At 40.2% G+C, this 18,708-nt stretch overlaps 1 protein-coding gene across 1 annotated transcript in view, besides 4 other annotated features; it reads left to right on the top strand.

Annotated features, from left to right (window-relative positions):
- TMEM123 (transmembrane protein 123) overlaps nucleotides 1-18,708 on the top strand; it is a 56,434-nt gene that overhangs the window by 17,510 nt on the left and 20,216 nt on the right. The window lies entirely within an intron of this gene.
- Nucleotides 5,207-5,356: an enhancer, noted in NCBI's record as "active region_5444". NCBI's record gives its function as "activates an Ori minimal core promoter by ATAC-STARR-seq in GM12878 lymphoblastoid cells {active_cell/tissue: GM12878}" and the evidence as "EXISTENCE:reporter gene assay evidence [ECO:0000049][PMID:35858748]".
- Nucleotides 5,437-5,496: an enhancer, noted in NCBI's record as "active region_5443". NCBI's record gives its function as "activates an Ori minimal core promoter by ATAC-STARR-seq in GM12878 lymphoblastoid cells {active_cell/tissue: GM12878}" and the evidence as "EXISTENCE:reporter gene assay evidence [ECO:0000049][PMID:35858748]".
- Nucleotides 6,121-6,298: a silencer, noted in NCBI's record as "fragment chr11:102299689-102299866 (GRCh37/hg19 assembly coordinates)". NCBI's record gives its function as "represses an EF-1alpha promoter that drives an FKBP-Casp9 reporter gene in an ReSE screen in K562 erythroleukemia cells {active_cell/tissue: K562}" and the evidence as "EXISTENCE:reporter gene assay evidence [ECO:0000049][PMID:32094911]".
- Nucleotides 14,372-14,421: an enhancer, noted in NCBI's record as "active region_5442". NCBI's record gives its function as "activates an Ori minimal core promoter by ATAC-STARR-seq in GM12878 lymphoblastoid cells {active_cell/tissue: GM12878}" and the evidence as "EXISTENCE:reporter gene assay evidence [ECO:0000049][PMID:35858748]".

The following is an 18,708-nucleotide window of genomic DNA, read 5'->3' as shown; positions in this document are numbered from 1 at the left end:
GTTAGCTTGTCTGTGTCTGTTATTTTTTGTGATTATAAAGATAATACAGGTTCTAGTGGAAAATTATTTATTTATTTTTATAGAGATGGAATCTTGCTTTGTCGCCCAAGCTGGTCTCAAACTTCTGGGCTCAAGCAATCCTTCTGCCTTGGCCTCCCAATGTGCTGGGATTACAGGTGTGAGCCACTGTGCCCAGCCCGTTGTAGAAATTCTGGAAGCAAAGTATATATTTTTAAATAATTATTCAATGTACTTCCACCACAAAGCTATTGTATATTGTGGTGACTATAGCTCACAATATGTTGTATACTTGAAAATTGTTAAGAGAGTAGATTTTAAGAGTTCCCATCACACATTGATGGCCAGTTGATTTCAGACAAAAGTGCAAGAATACACAATGGGAAAAGGATAGTCTCTTTAATGAATTATGTTTGGAAAACTGGTTATCCACATGCAGAAGAATGAAATAGCACCCTGATATCAGACCACATGATTTCCATATGGAAAAATCAACTCAAAATGAGTTAAAGATTTAACATGAATCCTGAAGTTGTAAAACTACTAGAAAAAAATAGGAAAAACTACACAACATTGGTCTGGGCAATGATATTTTAGATTTGGCCCCAAAAGCACAGGCAACAAAAACAAAAATAGACAAGATTACATCAAACTGAAAAGCTTCTGCATAAAAAGGAAACAACAGAATGAAGAGACATCATACAGATTGGGAGAAAATATTTGTAAGCCATTTATTTGTTAAAGGGTTAGTATTAAAATATATTAAGAACTCAACTCTATAGAAAGAAAATAAATAATCCAATTTAAAAATGGGCAAGGAACCTGAATAGACAGACATTTCTCAAAAGAAGACATACAGATAGCCAATAGTTACATGAGAAATTGCTGAATATTAAGAATCATTAGGGAAATGCAAATTAAAACCACAATGAAATGTCTTCTCACACCTATGAGAATGGCTATTCTCAAAAAGACAAAAGATAACAAATGTTGGTGATGATGTGGACAAGGGGGACCCTTGTACACTGTTGGTGAGAATGTAAATTAGTACAGCCATTATGGAAAACAATATGGAAGTTCCTCAAAAAATTAAAAATAGAATTACCATGTGATCCAGCAATCCCACTTCTGGGTATTTATACAAAAGACTGGAAATCAGTATGTCAAAAAGATGCCTGCACTCCCATGTTCATTACAGCACTATTCACAATAGCCAAGTGTATTTATCTGTTCTCGCTGCTATAAAGAAATATTGGAGACTGGATAATTTATAAGGAAAAGAGGTTTAATTGAGTCACAGTTCCACATGGCTAGGGAGGCCTCAGGAAACTTATAATCATGGCAGAAGGCACCTCTTCATAGGGTGGCAGGAGAGAGAATGAGTGCCAGCAGGGGAAATGCCAGACACTTATAAAACCATCAGATCTCATGAAAAACTGTCACGAGAACAGCGTAGGGGAAACCACCCCTATGATTCAGTTACCTCCCACCAGCTCGCTGCCATGACACTTGGGGATTATGGAGATTACAATTCAAGATGAAATTTGAGTGGGGACATAGCCAAACCATATAATTTTACCACTGGCCCCTCCCAAATCTCATGCCCTCAGACTTGATGCCTTCCCAACAGTCTTCCAAAGTCTTAACTCATTCCAGCATTAACCCAAAAGTCCAAAATCTCAACTGAGATAAGGCAAGTCCCTTCCACCTATGAGCCTGTAAAATCAAAAGCAAGTTAGTTACTTCCTAGATACAATGTGAGTACAGGCATTGGGTAAATACACCTGTTCCAAATGGGATAAATTGGCCAGAACAAAGGAGCTGCAGGCCCCATGCAAGTCTGAAATCCAGTAGGGCAGTCATTAAACCTTAAAGTTCCAAAATGATTTCCTATGACTCTGTCTCATATCCAGATCGTGCTGATGCAAGAGGTGGGCTCCCATGTCCTTGAGCAGCTCCACCCCTGTGGCTTTGCAGAGTACAGCCCCCTTCCCAGATGCTGTCACTAGCTGGCGTTGAGTGTCTGTGGCTTTTCCAGACACAGTGCAAGCTGTTGATGGGTCTACCATTCTGGGGGCTGGAGGACAGTGGCCCTCTTCTCACAGCTCCACTAGGCAGTGCCCCAGTGGGGACCCTGTGTGAGGGCTCCAGCCCCACATTTCCCTTCTGCACTGCCCTAGCAGAGTTTCTCCATGAGGCCTCCACACCTGCAGCAAACTTCTGCCTGGACTTCCAGGCATTTCCATACATTCTCTGAAATCCAGTCAGAGGTTCCCAAACCTCAATTCTTGACTTCTGTGCACCCACAGGCTCAACACTACATGGAAACCACCAAGGCCTGGGGCTTGCACCCTCTGAAGCAATGGCCTGAGCTGTACTTTGACCCCTTTTAGCCATGGCTGGAGCTGAAGCAGCTGAGACGCAGGGCACTATGTCCCCAGGCTGCATAGAGCAGGGGGCCCCTGGGCCTGGCCCAGGAAACCATTTTTCCCTCCTAGGCCTCCAGGCCTGTGATGGGAGGGGCTGCTGTGAAGGTATCTGACATGCCCTGGAGACATTTTCCCCATTGTCTTTTGGTGGTTAACATTTGGCTCCTTGTTACTTATGCAAATTCCTGCAGCCGGCTTGAATTTCTCCTCAGAGAATGGGTTTTCTTTTCTGTCACATCATCAGGCTACATATTTTCCAAACTCTTACGCTCTGCTACCTCTTGAATGCTTTGCTGCTTAGAAATTTCTTCTGCCAGGTACCCTAAATCGTGTCTCTCGAGTTCTAGTTCCACAGATCTCTAGGGCAGGGGCAAAATGCCACCAATCTCTTTGCTAAAGCATAGCAAGAGTGACCTTTACTCCAGTTCTCAACAGGTTCCTCAAATCTGCATCTGAGACCACCTCAGCCTGGACTTCATTGTCCATATCACTATCAGCATTTTGGTCAAAGCCGTTCAACAAGTCTCTAGGAAGTTCCAAACTTTCCCACATCTTTTTGTCTTCTGAGCCCTCCAAGTCTCTAGGAAGTTCCAAACTTTCCCACATTTCCCTGTCTTCTTCTAAGTCCTCCAAACTGTTTAAACCTCTGCCTGTTAACCAGTGCCAAAGTCGCTTCCACATTTTCAGCTATCCTTAGAGTAGCACCCCACTCCCAGTACCAATGTACTAGATTAATCTGTTCTTACACTGCTTTGAAGAAATACCCAAGATGGATTAATTTATAAAGAAAAGAGGTTTAATTGACTCAGTTCCACATGGCTAGGGAAGGCTTCAGGAAACTCACAATCATGGCAGAAGGCGCCTCTTCACAGGGTGGCAGGAGAGAGAAAGTGCCAGCAGGGAGATGCCAGACGCTTAAAAAACCATCAGATCTCCTGAGAACTCACTCACTATCATGGGAACAGCATGGGGGAAACTGCCCCCATGATTCAGTTACCTACCACCGGGTCACTGCCATGACACATGGGGATTACAATTCAAGATGAGATTTGGGTGGGGACACAGCCAGCCCATATCACCAAGTTGTAGAATCAACCTAACTGTTTATCAGCAGATGAATGGATAAAGCACATGTGATACATATACACACAATGGAATACTATTCAGCTTTAAAAAAGCAAATGTGCAAATTCTGTCATTTGAGACAACATGGATGGAACTGCAGAGAGTAGAATGGTGGTTCCCAGAAGCTGCAGGGTGGGGAAAAAGGGGAGATGATGGTTAAAGGATACAGAGCCTCAGAGAAGAGGAAAACTTTCTTTTTTCTAGTTCTATTGCACAGCATAGTGAATATAGTTTATCGTGTATGGTACCTTCCAAAATCGCTGAGTAAAATTTCAATGTTCTCACCACAAAAATAAGTATTTGAGGTGATGGATATGTTAATTAGCATGATTAAATTATTCTACATGTATTCATAAATCATAACATCACTTTATACCTATAAATTTATACAGCTGTAATTTGTCAGTTTACAAAGATAAGTATGTGAGGTAATGCCTATATTTATTTAGCGATTCCACATTGTGTACATATATCAAAATATCATGTTGTACACCATAAATACAGTTTTTTTTTAAGTATCCCACCGACTATTTTTAGTTTTTCTTTTTTAATCCAATGACATAAGCACAGTTTCCTAAAATGGGAACTGACCCTCTCCTACAAAACATTTCATTATGGTTATATCTTCATGACATGAAAACAACTAGTTGAAAAGTGATGACTTTTTTAGTCTATTACCTGACTGTTCAGTAAGAATTGGTTTGACTACTTTTTTCACCCCACATTGAATTTGGTTCACTAGTTTAGTGGTCCCTCCCCCATGTCATCCCCACCCAGTATGTGTATTATGTTGTATTTTGGGGAAGATACAAAGAGAAAAATTGCTTTGCTGTTAATTGAATTTGGGCAAGCTACTTAATCTCTGCCTTCTCACTTCCTGCTATGAAATAGAGCTGATTATAGAAAGATGGCTGTCTCATGCGGCTAAGAGAGTATAGCCATCTCATGGGTTAAATGAGGTAACATGTAAAGCACCTGGCACAAAACCAGGACCTAAATAAACGTGTTTTTCCTAGCTCTGTGGCCACACTTACCTTTTTGGTTCCTCCTTTCTCTGCCCTCTCTGCCATGAGACCTTTGCATGTTCTGTTCTCACTACCTGAAGAGCTCTTCCTTTCATCTTTGCCTTTTTCTGGCTACCAGTTACCCTTTCAGCCTTTAGATTGCTCAAGCTTGTTTCCTCAGGTCCAGTCCTAGACCTCTAGGCTTATAACTGGGATACCAGCCTTCAGAGGAGTTTGTGGTTTACTGGCTTATAGTAATGTAATGTGATGCTTCATCTCACTCTGCCTCCCCAACTAGAAAGTCAGCTCCTTCAGGGGGAAGGCTGATTTTACTCACCACCACCTTCCCAGCACCCAGTGCTGTTTTTGTTGAAACAGTAAAGGATATGCGAATGCTATGGGAGGAGTAAACCAGTTTTTGAGTTTTTTGCTTGCTATACCAGCCTTAGTTGTGAGATGGAGCCCCTTGGTCAAAACAAATCACCACCTGCACTCTGGTCTTCTCACTTAACAGGGGAGAATTGCCACAGTTGTCTTCTGTGGTCCCGGGCAACTCTGTTCTTTGCCTCTTTGTTTCCATAAAGATGAAGCCCATCCAGAAAAGGTACTCATGCTGGCTGGGAGAGGTGGCATGGGGAAGGGGATGGACAGAGCAATTTGGAAGATCAGAGAGGCCTCTGCCCCTACGAAGGGCCATGCTTGCCACCAGTCTTCCTGCTGTGTGGTGCTCCCATCGCACAGGCTGCTTCTGGAGATGCTCGGGTTGTTCAGGCCCTGTGGCTTTTGGCAAGGCAGGAGCATCTGTGCTTCTGCTGACATAAAAGAGGGTAATAAAAGTGACACAGGAAAGCGGTGTTGTGAGGCTTTAGTGATGGTGGAGCAGTGTTGCTGAAGTCCCTCAGGGAGTTTGGATTTGATTGCAGTGAGTCTGGCTACATCTGAAGCCTATAATAGTTTACAGTACAAGATGCTATGTATAAGATGTCAAACATTTGCTTGGTAGAATGCTATGATTGTCAGGAGTTTACTTTTGCACTGAAAATAGTCTTGTTGGTTTGGTGTAAGTAGAGTCACATTGCAGCACACACACAGGCATTCATGCTTTTATGTTTGTTAATTGTAAGGAAATGTTTTCTCAAGGCAAGAGTCAAAGGTTAGCAGAGTGCCAAAGACCTTCTCAAAGAGGAAAGTCTCATTTTAGAAACTTCATTTTGTACGCCAAAACTTGCCTTTCAGTAGTCTCATGTAATGTTTTTGCTGACATGAGTTGAAAAGTGCATTCTGTTGTAAAGGAGGAAAAAAACTGAAGAGGAACCGTAAGCGTGATTATGAAGAAGAGAAAAGAGCAGGAAGAAAGTAGACATCATCCCAGATTTAAATTTCATATTGTTAAAATCATTTGGTTGCAAGCAGTAGAAATTTTCTATAACTAACTTAGATAAACAAGGACTTGTTGGACACCTGCTGTCCAACATTCACAAAACCTAAAGAAGAAAACTGAACTAGATCTAGTGTGGCTAGGGATTTCAGGGACAGGAATTAACAAATCTCCTGAGGAGGCTGCCATCAAAATGACTGTGTTAACTGTTGTCCATCCTGGTGTATTCTACTCACATTTCAGACTCCTGCGAGAGGCTGATTGACCTGGTTTGAATCTCGTGCCTACCCACTCGTAGTCCCTCCAGACCCCAGGGGGTGAGCGAAGGGTGTTTGCCTGAAGGAAGAGTGGAACAGGAGCTGGGCAGGGAAAAAAGAACAGATGTTCATTCTACTGGCCACATAGCCACAGTCAGTGGTAATGATTTTCCCTGGCCAGACTTGGTGGCCAGTAGTTACTAGTCTCCTTTCTCTTCAGAAACATCTGCTCTTGTCAGAGTTATAGCCTATTCTTGATGAGCTGCAGCAAAAATGTACCACTTAAATTGGAGATGGATCATTTCCTGAGGATCTCAGAATATCTTTTTCAGTTAGCTTTATAAAGTAATTGTCCAGATGGCCATTTAATTTGTGATATGGGATAAAGTAATCTAGGGGAAAAAACACTTCTTTAAAATGACTTTTTTTTTTTGGGGGGGCCGGGCACACTGGCTTACACCTGTAATCCCAGCACTTTGCGAGGCCAAGCTGGGTGGATCACCTGGGGTCAGGAGTTCGAGAGCAGCCTGGCCAACATGGCAAAACCCCGTCTCTACTAAAAAATAAAAAAAAAAAAAAGCTGGGTGTGGTGGCAGGCACCTGTAATCCCAGCTACTTGGGAGGCTGAGGCAGGAGAATTGCTTAAACCCTGGAGGTGGAGGTTGCAGTGAGCTGAGATTGTGCCACTGTACTCCAGCCTGGGTGACAGAGTGAGACTCCATCTCAAAAAAATAAAATAAAATGACTTTTTTTAAATTGTGAAGAATATAGGTTAAGATTATATTGCAGTAGTAACGTAATAATATATTCAGGATAAAAAATTGAAGTTAGATCTGAAATATCAACATCCTAAACTAAGAAAAACCTTTTAAATTAATGTACTCTTGTTTTTTTCTTCTTAGCTAATAGTAAATAACGATAGACTCACACTCCCAGGAAGGGTGAGGAAGGGACAATTCAGACCTCTCTAGACTCCATGCATGGCCTGGTTAAATCACTTTTTTTTATCAGCATCTCATTTTTCCTTCCAGCAAGTTTATATCCTCATTGAGGAAGAGTGTCTTGCCAGAAGATTATTGTGATAATTTTTATAAGATATGTATATTCTTTTCTGAATCTCAGAGTAAATATTCTTTGTCTTCCTAAATGAACTGGTAGAATGTTTACATTTTCATTCTATTTCTGTAGAATTTTTTTTTTTTTAATTGAAACAGAGTCTTGCTCTGTTGCCCAGGCTGGAGTGCAGTGGCGCGATCTCGGCTCACTGCAACCTCTGCCTCCCGGGTTCCAGTGATTCTCCTGCCTCAGCCTCCCTAGTAGCTGGGACTACAGGTGTGTACCACCACGCCTGGCTAATTTGTGTGTTTTTTAGTAGAGACAGGGTTTCACCGTATTGGCCAGGCTGGTCTCGAAATGCTGACCTCGTGATCCACCTGCCTCAGCCTCCCGAAGTGCTGGGATTACAGACATCAGCCACCGCACCCAGCCATTTCCGTAGAATTTATAGCCTCCCTGTTGCAGTGAGCTGAGATTGTGCCACTGCACTCCAGCCTGGGCGACAGAGTGAGACTCTGTCTCCAAAAAAAAAAAAAAAAAAGAATTTATACCCTCCCTATTTCTTCTCTCCCACTTCTGCCTTCTCTTCCACTTCTGCCTTCTCCCCTTGTTCCTCATAGTCCTTGGGCATGTGCTACTTCAGCAGAGACCTGGGTCCTCTTTTGTGAAATTCAGTCAACAAAAAGCTCAAGGAACAAGTTAAGACTGAAGACTGATCGAGTTCATGTAAGTGTGGTAGGATTGCATGGTGCCATTTGATATTAAAAGGCATGTATTGTTTAAGAAACTAAACAAAAGCCAACTGTGTTTGAACAACAATGTTTGTCAGTGAGCTAGCTAGATATGGAGGATAAAGATATGTATAGTGTGTTCCAGCCACAGACTAGATTGTGAAAAAGAGAACCAGCAAAAAAAAAAAAACCCGCAAAACAAAAAACCCTGCAACTTAATCTCAGAGTTCTCTCCTGTAATAGACAGTAATACATTTATAGTTAGAAAACTTCAATTTGGTTTGGCAATATCCCAACTATAGAACTTCAAATAACTGATATATATACCCAGACACAAAACTTTTTATCAACTGAATAGCCAGTTGTGGATTTTGAGCAATAAATGGGGGGGGGGGGGGAACTACTTTAAAAACATTAAGCCATGAGTTTATTCAATCTGTATCTTTGTCTTCTAGTAAGTAAATTTGCTTTCATTGTTAAACAGCAGCAACAAAGGGACACCAAAGATCTTTGCATACCTTACTTGGTTGTAAACTTTTTGAAGTCAAAGGTAATTTTTCTAACTTCTTTGCAGTAGCTAAAACTTACATAGCAGCCTCTTTAAGCAGGGAAAATTATTGTAAAGAAATTGCTCTTAGATAACTTTCCACTCAAGGGTTTTAAGCTTTTTGTTTTGTTTGTAAAATCTTTTACGATGAGCACTTTGTAAGTCTACTAGTTAGCTCAAAGCAGTTCTCCTTGAGGACCCACATCTACTCCAGGCTGGGAGACAGAGCGAGACACCATCACTTAAAAAAAAAAAAAAAGATAATAAATATAGAGGGAAATGAATTGTGATGCGGGCGTAAAAGTGCTGTCTGCATCGGCTCCCTTCTATTACTGCTTCCTAAAGTTGTTGTGAGGATTAAATGAGTTAATGTAGGTAAGCATTCAGAACAGTGCCTGGCACATAAGTGCTATGGATGTGTTAACTGTTATTATTGTTAAGAACGATCTAAACACAGTGGTCAGGAATGGCAAAGTCAAGAGTTCTGATAGGATACTATGGTTATTTAGACTCAAAAGCAAAGCTGCCAAAATCCAGCTGACCTTCCTTTTGATATTTAGAGGAAATTCTGTTACCTAAGACTGATATTTCATTATAGCCACTCAACAAATGTTCATTTGTACATTCTATGTGTTGGGCACTGTGCCAGGTACTGGGGGAGCTACAGAGACATGACATAAATATCACCATGAGGTGCTTAAAATTTAATTGGAAAGTTAATAAGAACAAAAATAACTATAGTAAAAGGCCAGTATGCTAAGTACAATAATAAAGGTGCAGATAATGTAAGTGAGCACTCAGAAGAGGGAGAGCTTACTTTCAGTTAGGAAAATCTCGAGGGCCGGGCACAATGGCTCATGCCTGTAATTCCAGCTCTTTGGGAGGCAGATTGCTTGACTCCAGGAGTTAAGACCAGCCTGCACAACATGGGGAAACCTGTCTCCACAAAAAATACAAAAATTAGCTAGGTGTGGTGGCACATGCCTGTAGCCTCAGCTTCTCGGGTGGGTGAAGTGGGAGGATCAACTGAGCCTGGGAGGTTGAGGCTACAGTGAGCTGCAACCATGCCACTGCACTTCTAGCCTGGGCAACAGAGTGAGACCTTGCCTCAAAAAAAAAAAAAAAAAGAAAAAAGAAAAAAAAAAAAACAATCCTGGAGGAAACAGTGCTTGACCTAGGTCTGAGTGGATGTGGCATTGATAGATGGACAAACGAAAAACAGACAATGCTTTTTATCAGTATCATTGGAGGACACAACATGAACAGTGGTGAGGGGGAAGGAAATGGGTCTATGCTCAAAAGAAGGTCCAAGCCAACCATCTTTATTATTTGCACATAACCTGTTATAAAATGATACTGCTCGTGTTCATAACAGTGGACCGTAACCATCTGTTGAGCATGATGCTGTTGCCAAGCGTTGTTGTTCAAGGTGTTTCATCCTTGTTCTTACATTCCATACAATAACCATATGAGTTAAGTGTTATTTTAGCTATTTTAGAGATGAAAAAAGAGCTACACAGAAGATGACTGTGCCACAATTTCAGCACAGAACTGGTTGGCGTAAAAGCCTCTGTTTCTTTCTGATATTCCTGGGTGCTGCTTGGAGATCACAAGTATTTGATTGACAGATATTAGACACATATGCTATCATCTTGAGAATAGAAATGGATACAAATTAGGATATTCTTCATTCTTGCTTCTGTATTTTCAACAAACAGGTTTTCTGCCTCTAGTGTTTCCTGGAAACACCAAATAAAAACATATTTTTGTCTTTGACCAAGAGTGTGCTTCTGAAAAACTTGCTCAGTGAGCATGCAATCAGTACAGCATTGGGTGTTCTGGAGGGAACATTCATTCTGGCTGTAGTGGCTTGAGGACCCATATCTACAAGCTTTGACCCGCTCCCTTTTCTGTGCCAGGTAAATAGTCTTATCTATATAAATCAAATTTGAACTCTTAGAATGAAACTCAGGGTCTTCTGTGCCCTGACTCCCCTCGCTTACTGAGTTTCTTTTTTTTTTTGAGACAAGGTCTTGCTCTGTCACCCAGGCTGGAGTGCAGTGGTGCAGTCTTTGCTCATTGCAGACTCCGCCTCCTGGGTTCAAGCGATTCTCCCACCTCAGCATCCCAATTAGCTGGGACTACAGGTGTGCGCCACCACGCCTGGCTAATTTTTTGTATTTTTTAGTAGATGTGGGGTTTTGCCATGTTGGCCAGGCTGGTCTTGAACCTCCTGGCCTCAAGTGATCCACCTGCCTTAGCCTCCCAAAGTGTTGGGATTATAGGCGTGAGCCACTGTGCCTGGCCCTGAGTTTATTTTCAAATCTGTAAAATGGCAGTAAGTGTACTTCTATAAAGTATATGGAATACTTGATAAAGTATTCACTGCTTTATAAATACATGATAAAGTATTCACTGCTTTATAAATACTGTTTTTATAATCATAGTCTTGTGAGACAGTTACATGCTCAGAGGTTTCTTTATAAATACGTAGGGGTCTTTGTTCCTACACTTGAGTGGCTTCAGATGGCTTATATTAGCTTTTGTCTCCTTTTTGGTGACAGACTCAACTGTTGTGTCTTTGTATTGGCATTATGCCTCCCTCTAATAGCCCACTCCTCCCTCAATTTGCTGCTTTTAATCAGCAGTCAACTAGGAAACCACATAATAGAACTTGTTAGCAGTGTGTCTAAAATTAAAGTCATTTTGTTCTTTTCTTTTACAGGAGATGATTTTTTTAAAAAAATCTGAATTTGTTTAAAACTTTTATATATTTTTTAAAATCTTGATAGCCTTTTAAAAATTGTAGGAGTTAATAATGCACGCACTTAATATTTTAAGTAATGCAAAAGTGTATAAAAAAATAAGTATGCGTTCCTCCCTCCCTTTGTCTTCCCAATACCTCCCTAGAAATAATCACTGTTAGCTGGTGTGACTGTACAAAAAAGGCATACACATAATATTGTACAACTTGCTTTTTTGACTGAACTATGAATTACTGATTTTTTGTGTTAATACATTTTTGGTTATCTATTGATACATAGCAGAACCCCAGAACTAAGTGGTTTAAAACTACGCTTATTATCTCATGGTTCCTATGTGTCAGGAGTTTAGAAGTAGCTTAGCTGGGGTCAGATCTGAGGTTGCAGTCATGAAGGCTTAACTGGGGATAGAGAATTTTCTTCCAGTGTGGCTTGCTCACATGGCTGGCTATTGGCAGACAGCCTCAGTTCTCTATATGAGGTTCCCCATAGGGCTGCCTGAGTATCTTCACAGCATCATGCCAGGCTTCCCTAAAAGGGAGTGGACTTTAAAGGGAGCTGGGAGGGAGCTATCCTTATTATGACCTAGCCTCAGAAGTCGTATAGCATCATTTCATTCTGCCCTGTTCTCAGAAGAGAGTCTGGTTAGGTCCACCCACAAGAGAAGTGGAATGAGGCTTCACTTTTTGAAGGGGGGCTTATCAAAGAATTTATGGGCATATTTTAAAACCACCACAGTATGTATAGCTGTATCTCATTCATTTGCATGTTTGCACTGTGTTACATAGTAGGGATATACCGTAATTTTTCCTTAGCCATGCCCCCATTTGTGGTTATTTTTACTCTTCTAAACAGTGCTGCAGTGAACATAAATACACACCTTTAGCAGCTTGAGCTAGGATTTAGCTAGATTCTTAGAAGTGGGATTGTCGAGTCAGTAGGTGTTGGGTTCTGAGGGCCTGAGAGGTAGCTCTCCTGTAACTAAAAAACCTCAATGTGTACTAACATGTTTTATCTTTCAGCTCTGTTCTGGGTAGATTGTTCAGAAAGGTATTGGAGTTAATCATTGCATGATGCCAGACTCATGGAAACATAAAACATCTTAAAACATAGCTCTTAGGATAAAAATTTTAAATACTGTGAGAAATGAATGAAATAGAGCTAAAGATGTCAACATGAGTGAAATTCATAAACATAATATTGAGTGCAAAAAGCAAATACATTTTGCATGATGCTATTTATATAAAATTTTAATGTATGAAAAGCACGGTATTATGTTGCTTAGAAATAGATTGGTGTGAAGTAAAAATAAAGAGAAATGTGTGAGAATGATAAACCCAGAATTCAAGATAGTGGTTATTCTGAAAGGGATGCAGTTGAGGAGGGGCACACTTTTTGGGGATTTCCTAATTGGCAGAATGATGAGAACACAGATGTTTGTGTTATTCTCTTCACTTTTTTTTTCCTTTTATTTGGAGATGGAGTGTTGCTCTGTCAACCAGGCTGGAGTGCAGTGACACAATCTCGGCTCACTGCAACCTCCCCCTGCCAGGTTCAAGCGATTCTCCTGCCTCAGCCTCCCGAGTAACTGGGATTACAGGCGTGTGCCACCACACCTGGCTAATTTTGTATTCTTTAGTAGAGACAAGGTTTCGTCATGTTGGCCAGGCTGATCTCAAACTCCTGACCTCAAGTGATCCACCTGCCTTGGCCTCCCACTGTGTTGGGGTTACAGGCATGAGCCACCACACTCGGCCATTCTTTCCACCTTTACCATCAACATTAGTGATGAAGTGTGTACACTGTATTGATTGATGATGATTCTAGTGCAGTGAAGATAGTGGTAAAATTAATGCCTAATCAATATGTACAGTTAATATCAAATACGCCAGACTCTAGAATTCAGGTAGATTTTTGTTAAGAAACACTAAACTAATGACAAGAGCACCAGGCTCAGAGCAGCTCAAAGACCTAAGTTAAAGTGTCTTCACTGCCACCTCCAACAGCACTTCAGGGCATTTATTTAACCTTCTGGGTCAGTTTTCTCATCTGCAAATTGGGAGGAGCAAACCCATCTCCCATTGATGTTCTACAGATCATGCGAAATTTTTTAAAAATTAAAAATATGAAAAGCATCTAGCATGGTGACTGCACACAGCATATGTTCAATATTTGCTTCCTCCTTCCCCAGATTACTGCCATCTTCAGTTTGGTACCATTACTAACATTAAACAATATGTGTTTTTAGTAACTGGCGAAGTTTCCATTTTTCCTTTGTCTTGCAAGAAAACATGTTCAGTATTAAATATTAAATTTTCTAGTGCCTTTACACAATGAATTAAAATTATTTACTAGTATACTAAACTGTACAGTTGTCATCTCTAGGGATTTCTTTTGTGCTGACATTCGAGCAGACAGTTTTTTTTTTTGCTGACTGAATATCTCTTTGTTGTGGTGCTTTGAGCTTGTTAATGACCAAATTCTTATGTGGCAGCTGCACATTACACATGCTTATTCCCCGTGTTTAGACCATAAATCTTCTGTAACTGAGTGACAGCACCACCTGCACAGCCTTTCAGGGTTGCAAATACAGCTCTAATAATGTTATTTCAAAATATTCCAGATGTGTTTTTTCACACATTTTAGTCCCGCTGTGACAATAAAATGATATTTTAGAGTATGAGAAGTTGTTGTTGTTATTATTTCATGTGGATTTTATAATGGAGACAGACTGATAGTATGTCTTGTATGCAGGTTTATAGAACATGGCATATCAAGAGTATTTGGTACATACCCAGTGGAGGTTTATAAAATACTTGGAGTAATTCTGAGCTTGTTTATGTTGTTATTTTTCTGCCTAAAGTCTGTTTATCCCCTAGTTTTTTTGTTGTTGTTTTCTTTCGAGATGGAGTCTTGCTCTGTCACCCAGGCCGGAGTGCAGTGGCACCATCTTGACTCACTGCAACCTCCGCCTCCTGAGTTCAAGCAATTCTTGTGCCTCAACCTCCAGAGTAGCTGGGATCACAGGCATGCACCACCCCACCTGGGTAATTTTTGTATTTTTGCAGAGACAGGGTTTCACCATGTTGGCCAGGCTGGTTTTGAACTCCTGACCTCAAGTGACCCACCCGCCTTGGCCTCCCAAAGTGAGCCACCAGGCCCGGTGGCCCCCTAGTTTTATCATTCTTAGTCAGCAATGTGTTAAAGGTTAACAGTGGAACATTGACACATTCACTCATCTGTCCTAACCAAAGCTTCTTGACTTTGTGATACTGCTCCTTGTGACTGGCAGCCTAATAGTGATGAAGTGCAGGGACTCCTTAGCCAACCTGAGGAAGTCTAAATCTTGGCTCCTCCCCTTACTAGTTTGTGACCCTAGGCAAGTTACTCAACCTCTTTGTGCCTTAGTTTCATCTGTAAAATGGGGATGACAATAACATCTGCCTCCTAGGGTTATGAAAATTACAAATGTTTATAAAATACTTAGAACAGCGTTCGGTGCAGAATGAGCACTGTTGAAGTATTCTTTGAATACTGCTGGGACAGACAGATACCTATAGAGCACACAGGGCTCAGCTTTTGTGAGCTCATTCCAGGTCAGATCTATGCCTAGACAGTAAAAGACATTTGCTGTTCTCTTAGTCACGTTAGTAATACAAACTGATAAGAATAGTGAGGAATATAAAACATTAACAATGATGCTTTCCCTTTGGCCAAACCTAACCAGAAGCCTTGGGGGGCAAGGGAGCCTGTCAGTGCAGTCTGTAAGTGTCACCTCTCAGGGCAGAGAGCAGGCTGGATGAGGATGGGGAAGGGATCTGGAGATGCAAATAGTTTCTAAGACAGAGTGTCTTAACTCCTATATAATTCATGTTTGTGCATATTTTTATATAAAAACCATTCTTCCCCATTGCCTTCCAGTATACTTTCTAAGTTTCTACAGAACGAAATTTGGCCTCAGCATGTAACTGGAAGGGAATATAAAAGTTCTGAGTTGCTTACAGTGTATTTCCTGGATTAATATTTCAAGGCTTAAAACAAGGGAGAAGCAGTTCATTTTCTGCCTAATCCATAAAAGCCATTCCAAGCATGGGAGAAATGTTGAAGAGCTGATGGATAGAATTGATAATGCTGCCTTGCAGCTAGAAATGCAGGCAGAACTACCCACCCCATCTTAATACCTCTAATCCACACTAATAATTTGTGTTCCTAAATAGAAAAATTGAATTCTCCTTTTAGATTAAATAAATCTGTTCCTTATTCAGCCATCTCATTATTCTTCTAATAGAGACCTATTGAGCTCACTTTACTATTTATGTCTTCAAGGGTATAATGCTAGTGTGGAATATACTGACTTTTAAAAGTAGTTTAAAAAATGCTTTTAAAAAGCCATTGTCTAACAGACTGGACACGCAGTTGCCCTGGGGAGTTTAGGTAGCTGAGAGCTGATGAAGGAGGAGACTTTCTAGTTCTCTTGGTGATTTCTTGCTAGAGTACCATTTAAAACTCCTTCTGGAGGTTTGTGAAGGAACCTTTCTTGCCTCACACCATTGGATTAATTTCATGTCCAGGCAGGTATACAAGGTACATGATTAACCCTGGTTTGACAATTGATGTTGATAGCTAAAAGTACTTATTCAGGATATGAGGAAACATGAATAAGGATTGAAATTAAATATGGATGAATGAATGAATGAACGTTTTTAGTACAACGTGTACCTTAATTTTTAGAATAGTAAACATGAAAAGCCATAAACTTGAATGCATGCACTTTTTGTTTTTCTTTTATTTTAGGCTCGAGGGTACATGTGCAGATTTGTTACATGGGTAAATCATGTGTGACGGGTTTGGTGTACAGATTATTTCATCACGCAGGTAATGAGCGTAGTACTCAATAGGTAGTTTTTCCATCCTCATCCTCCTCCCTGGTCCTACCCTCAGGCAGGTGTTGGTGTGTTATTCTTCCCTTCTTAGTGTCCATTGTGTACTCATTGTTTAGCTCTCACTTATAATTGAGAACATGCAGTATTTGATTTTCTGTTTCTGTGTTAATTTGCTTAGGATAATGCCTTCCAGCTGCATCCGTGTTGCTGCAAAGGATGTGATTTCATTCCTTTTTATGGCTGTGTAGTATTCCATGGTGTATATTATTAATACCACATTTTCTTTATCCAGTCCGCCACTGTTGGGTATCTAGGTTGATTCCATGTCTTTGCTATTGTGAATAGTGCTGCAGTTAACGTATGTGTGCATGTGTCTTTATAATGATTTATATTTTGGGTATATACCCAGTAATGGGATTGCTAGGTCAAATGGTAGTTCTATTGTAAGTTCTTTGTGAAATCTTCAAACTGCTTTCCACAGTGGCTGAACTAATTTACATTCCCACCAGCGGTGTATAAGCATTCCTTTTTCTCCATGGCCTTGCCAGTATCTGTTATTTTTTTATTTTTTACCATTCTGACTGGTGTGAGATGCTTTCTCACTGTGGTTTGATTTGCATTTCTCTAATAATTATGTTGAGCATTTTTTTAATATGCTTGTTGGCTGCATGTGTATGTTTTCTTTTGGGAAGTGTCTGTTCATATCCTTTCAATAAGGGTTGTTTTTTGCCTGTTCATTTAAGTTTCTTATAGATTCTAGATATTAGACCTTTGTCAGATGCATAATTTGCAAATATTTTCTCCCATTCTATAGGTTTTCTGTTTACTTTGTTGATAGTTTCTTTTGCAGTACAGAAGCTCTTTAATTAGGTTGCACTTTTCAACTTTAGCTTTTGTTGCAGTTGCCTTTGGTGTCTCTGTCATGAAAGCTTTGACAGGGCTAATGGCCAGAATGGTGTTTCCTAGGTTTTCTTCTAGGGTTTTATTTTTTTTTTCTGCTTCCCTCCCTTCCTGTCTTCTAGGGTTTTTATAGTTTTAGGTTTTACATTTAAGTCTTTTTAATTCATCTTGAGTTGATTTTCATATATGGTGAAAGGAAGGGGTCCAGTTTCAATCTCCTGCTTATGGCTAGCCAGTTATCCCAGTACCATTTATTGAATAGGGAGTCCCTTCCCCATTGCACTTTTTTTTTTTAAACTTTATCAAAGATCAGATGGCTGTAGTTGTGAGGCTTTATTTCTGGGTTATCTAACCTGTTCCATTGTTCCGTGTATCAGTTTCTGTACCGATACCATGCTGTTTTGGTTACTGTAGTCTTGTAGTATAGTTTAAAGTCAGGTAGCATGATGACTCTAGCTTTGTTCTTTTTGCTTAGGATTGCTTTGGCTAGTTGGGCTCTCTTTTGGATCCATATGAATTTTAGAAGAGCTTTTTTCCACTTACGGTGGTTTGATATCAATAGCACTGAATCTGTAAATTGCTTTGGGCAGTATGGCCATCTTAATAATATTGATTCTTTCTCTCCATGAGCAAGGAATGGTTTTCTATTTGTGTTATATCTGATTTCTTTGAGCAGTGTTTCATAATTCTCGTTGTAGAGATCTTTCACCTCCCTGGTTAACTGTATTCCTAGGTATTTGTATGTTTGTGGTGGGGGAAGGGAGTGCTGCTGTGAATGGGATTGCATTCTTGATTTGGCTCTCAGCTTGGGCATTATTGGTGTATAGAAATGTTACTGATTTCTGTACATTGATTTTGCATCCCGAAACTTTGCTGAAATTGTTAATCAGATCTAGGAGCCCTTGGGCAGAGACTGGGGTTTTCTAGTTAGAGAATCATCATCTGCAAAGAGAGAGTTTGACTTTCTCTTGGTTACCTGTTATGACTTTTTCTTGGTTTCCTGTTATTTCTTTCTCTTGTCTGACTGCCTAGGACTTCCAGTACTGTCTTGAATAGGAGTGGTGAGAGTGGGCATTTTTGTCTTGTTCTGGTTCTCAAAGGGAGTGCTTCCAGCTTTTGGCCACTCAGTATGATGTTAGCCGTAGGTTTGTCATAGATGGATCTTATTATTTTGAGGTATGTTTCTTTAATACCTAGATTGTTGAGGGTTTTTAACATAAAGGGATTTTGAATTTTATTAAAAGCCTTTTCTTTGTTTACTGAGATGATCGTGGTTTTTTTAGTTCACATTATGTGATAAATCACGTTTATTGATTTGCCTATGTTTAACCAACCTTGCATCCCAAGAATAAAGCCTACTTGATCATGGTGGATTAGCTTTTTGATGTGCTGGTGGATCAGTTTGCTAGTATTTTCTTGAGGATTTTTGTATCTATGTTTATCAGGGATATTGGCCTGAAGTTTTCTTTTTTTGTTGTGTCTTTGCCAGGTTTTGGTATCAGAATGTTGCTAGCCTTATAGAATGAGCTAGGGTAGAATCTCTTCTTAATTTTTTGGAATAATTTTATATTTTATTAATATATGTCTGGTAGAACTTGACTGTGAATCGGTCTGGTCC

Source organism: Homo sapiens, chromosome 11, assembly GCF_000001405.40.
Source record: "Homo sapiens chromosome 11, GRCh38.p14 Primary Assembly".
Lineage (NCBI taxonomy): Eukaryota > Metazoa > Chordata > Mammalia > Primates > Hominidae > Homo > Homo sapiens.
Note: the sequence above shows the minus strand (reverse complement) of the source record. Positions and strands in the feature narration are given on the sequence as shown.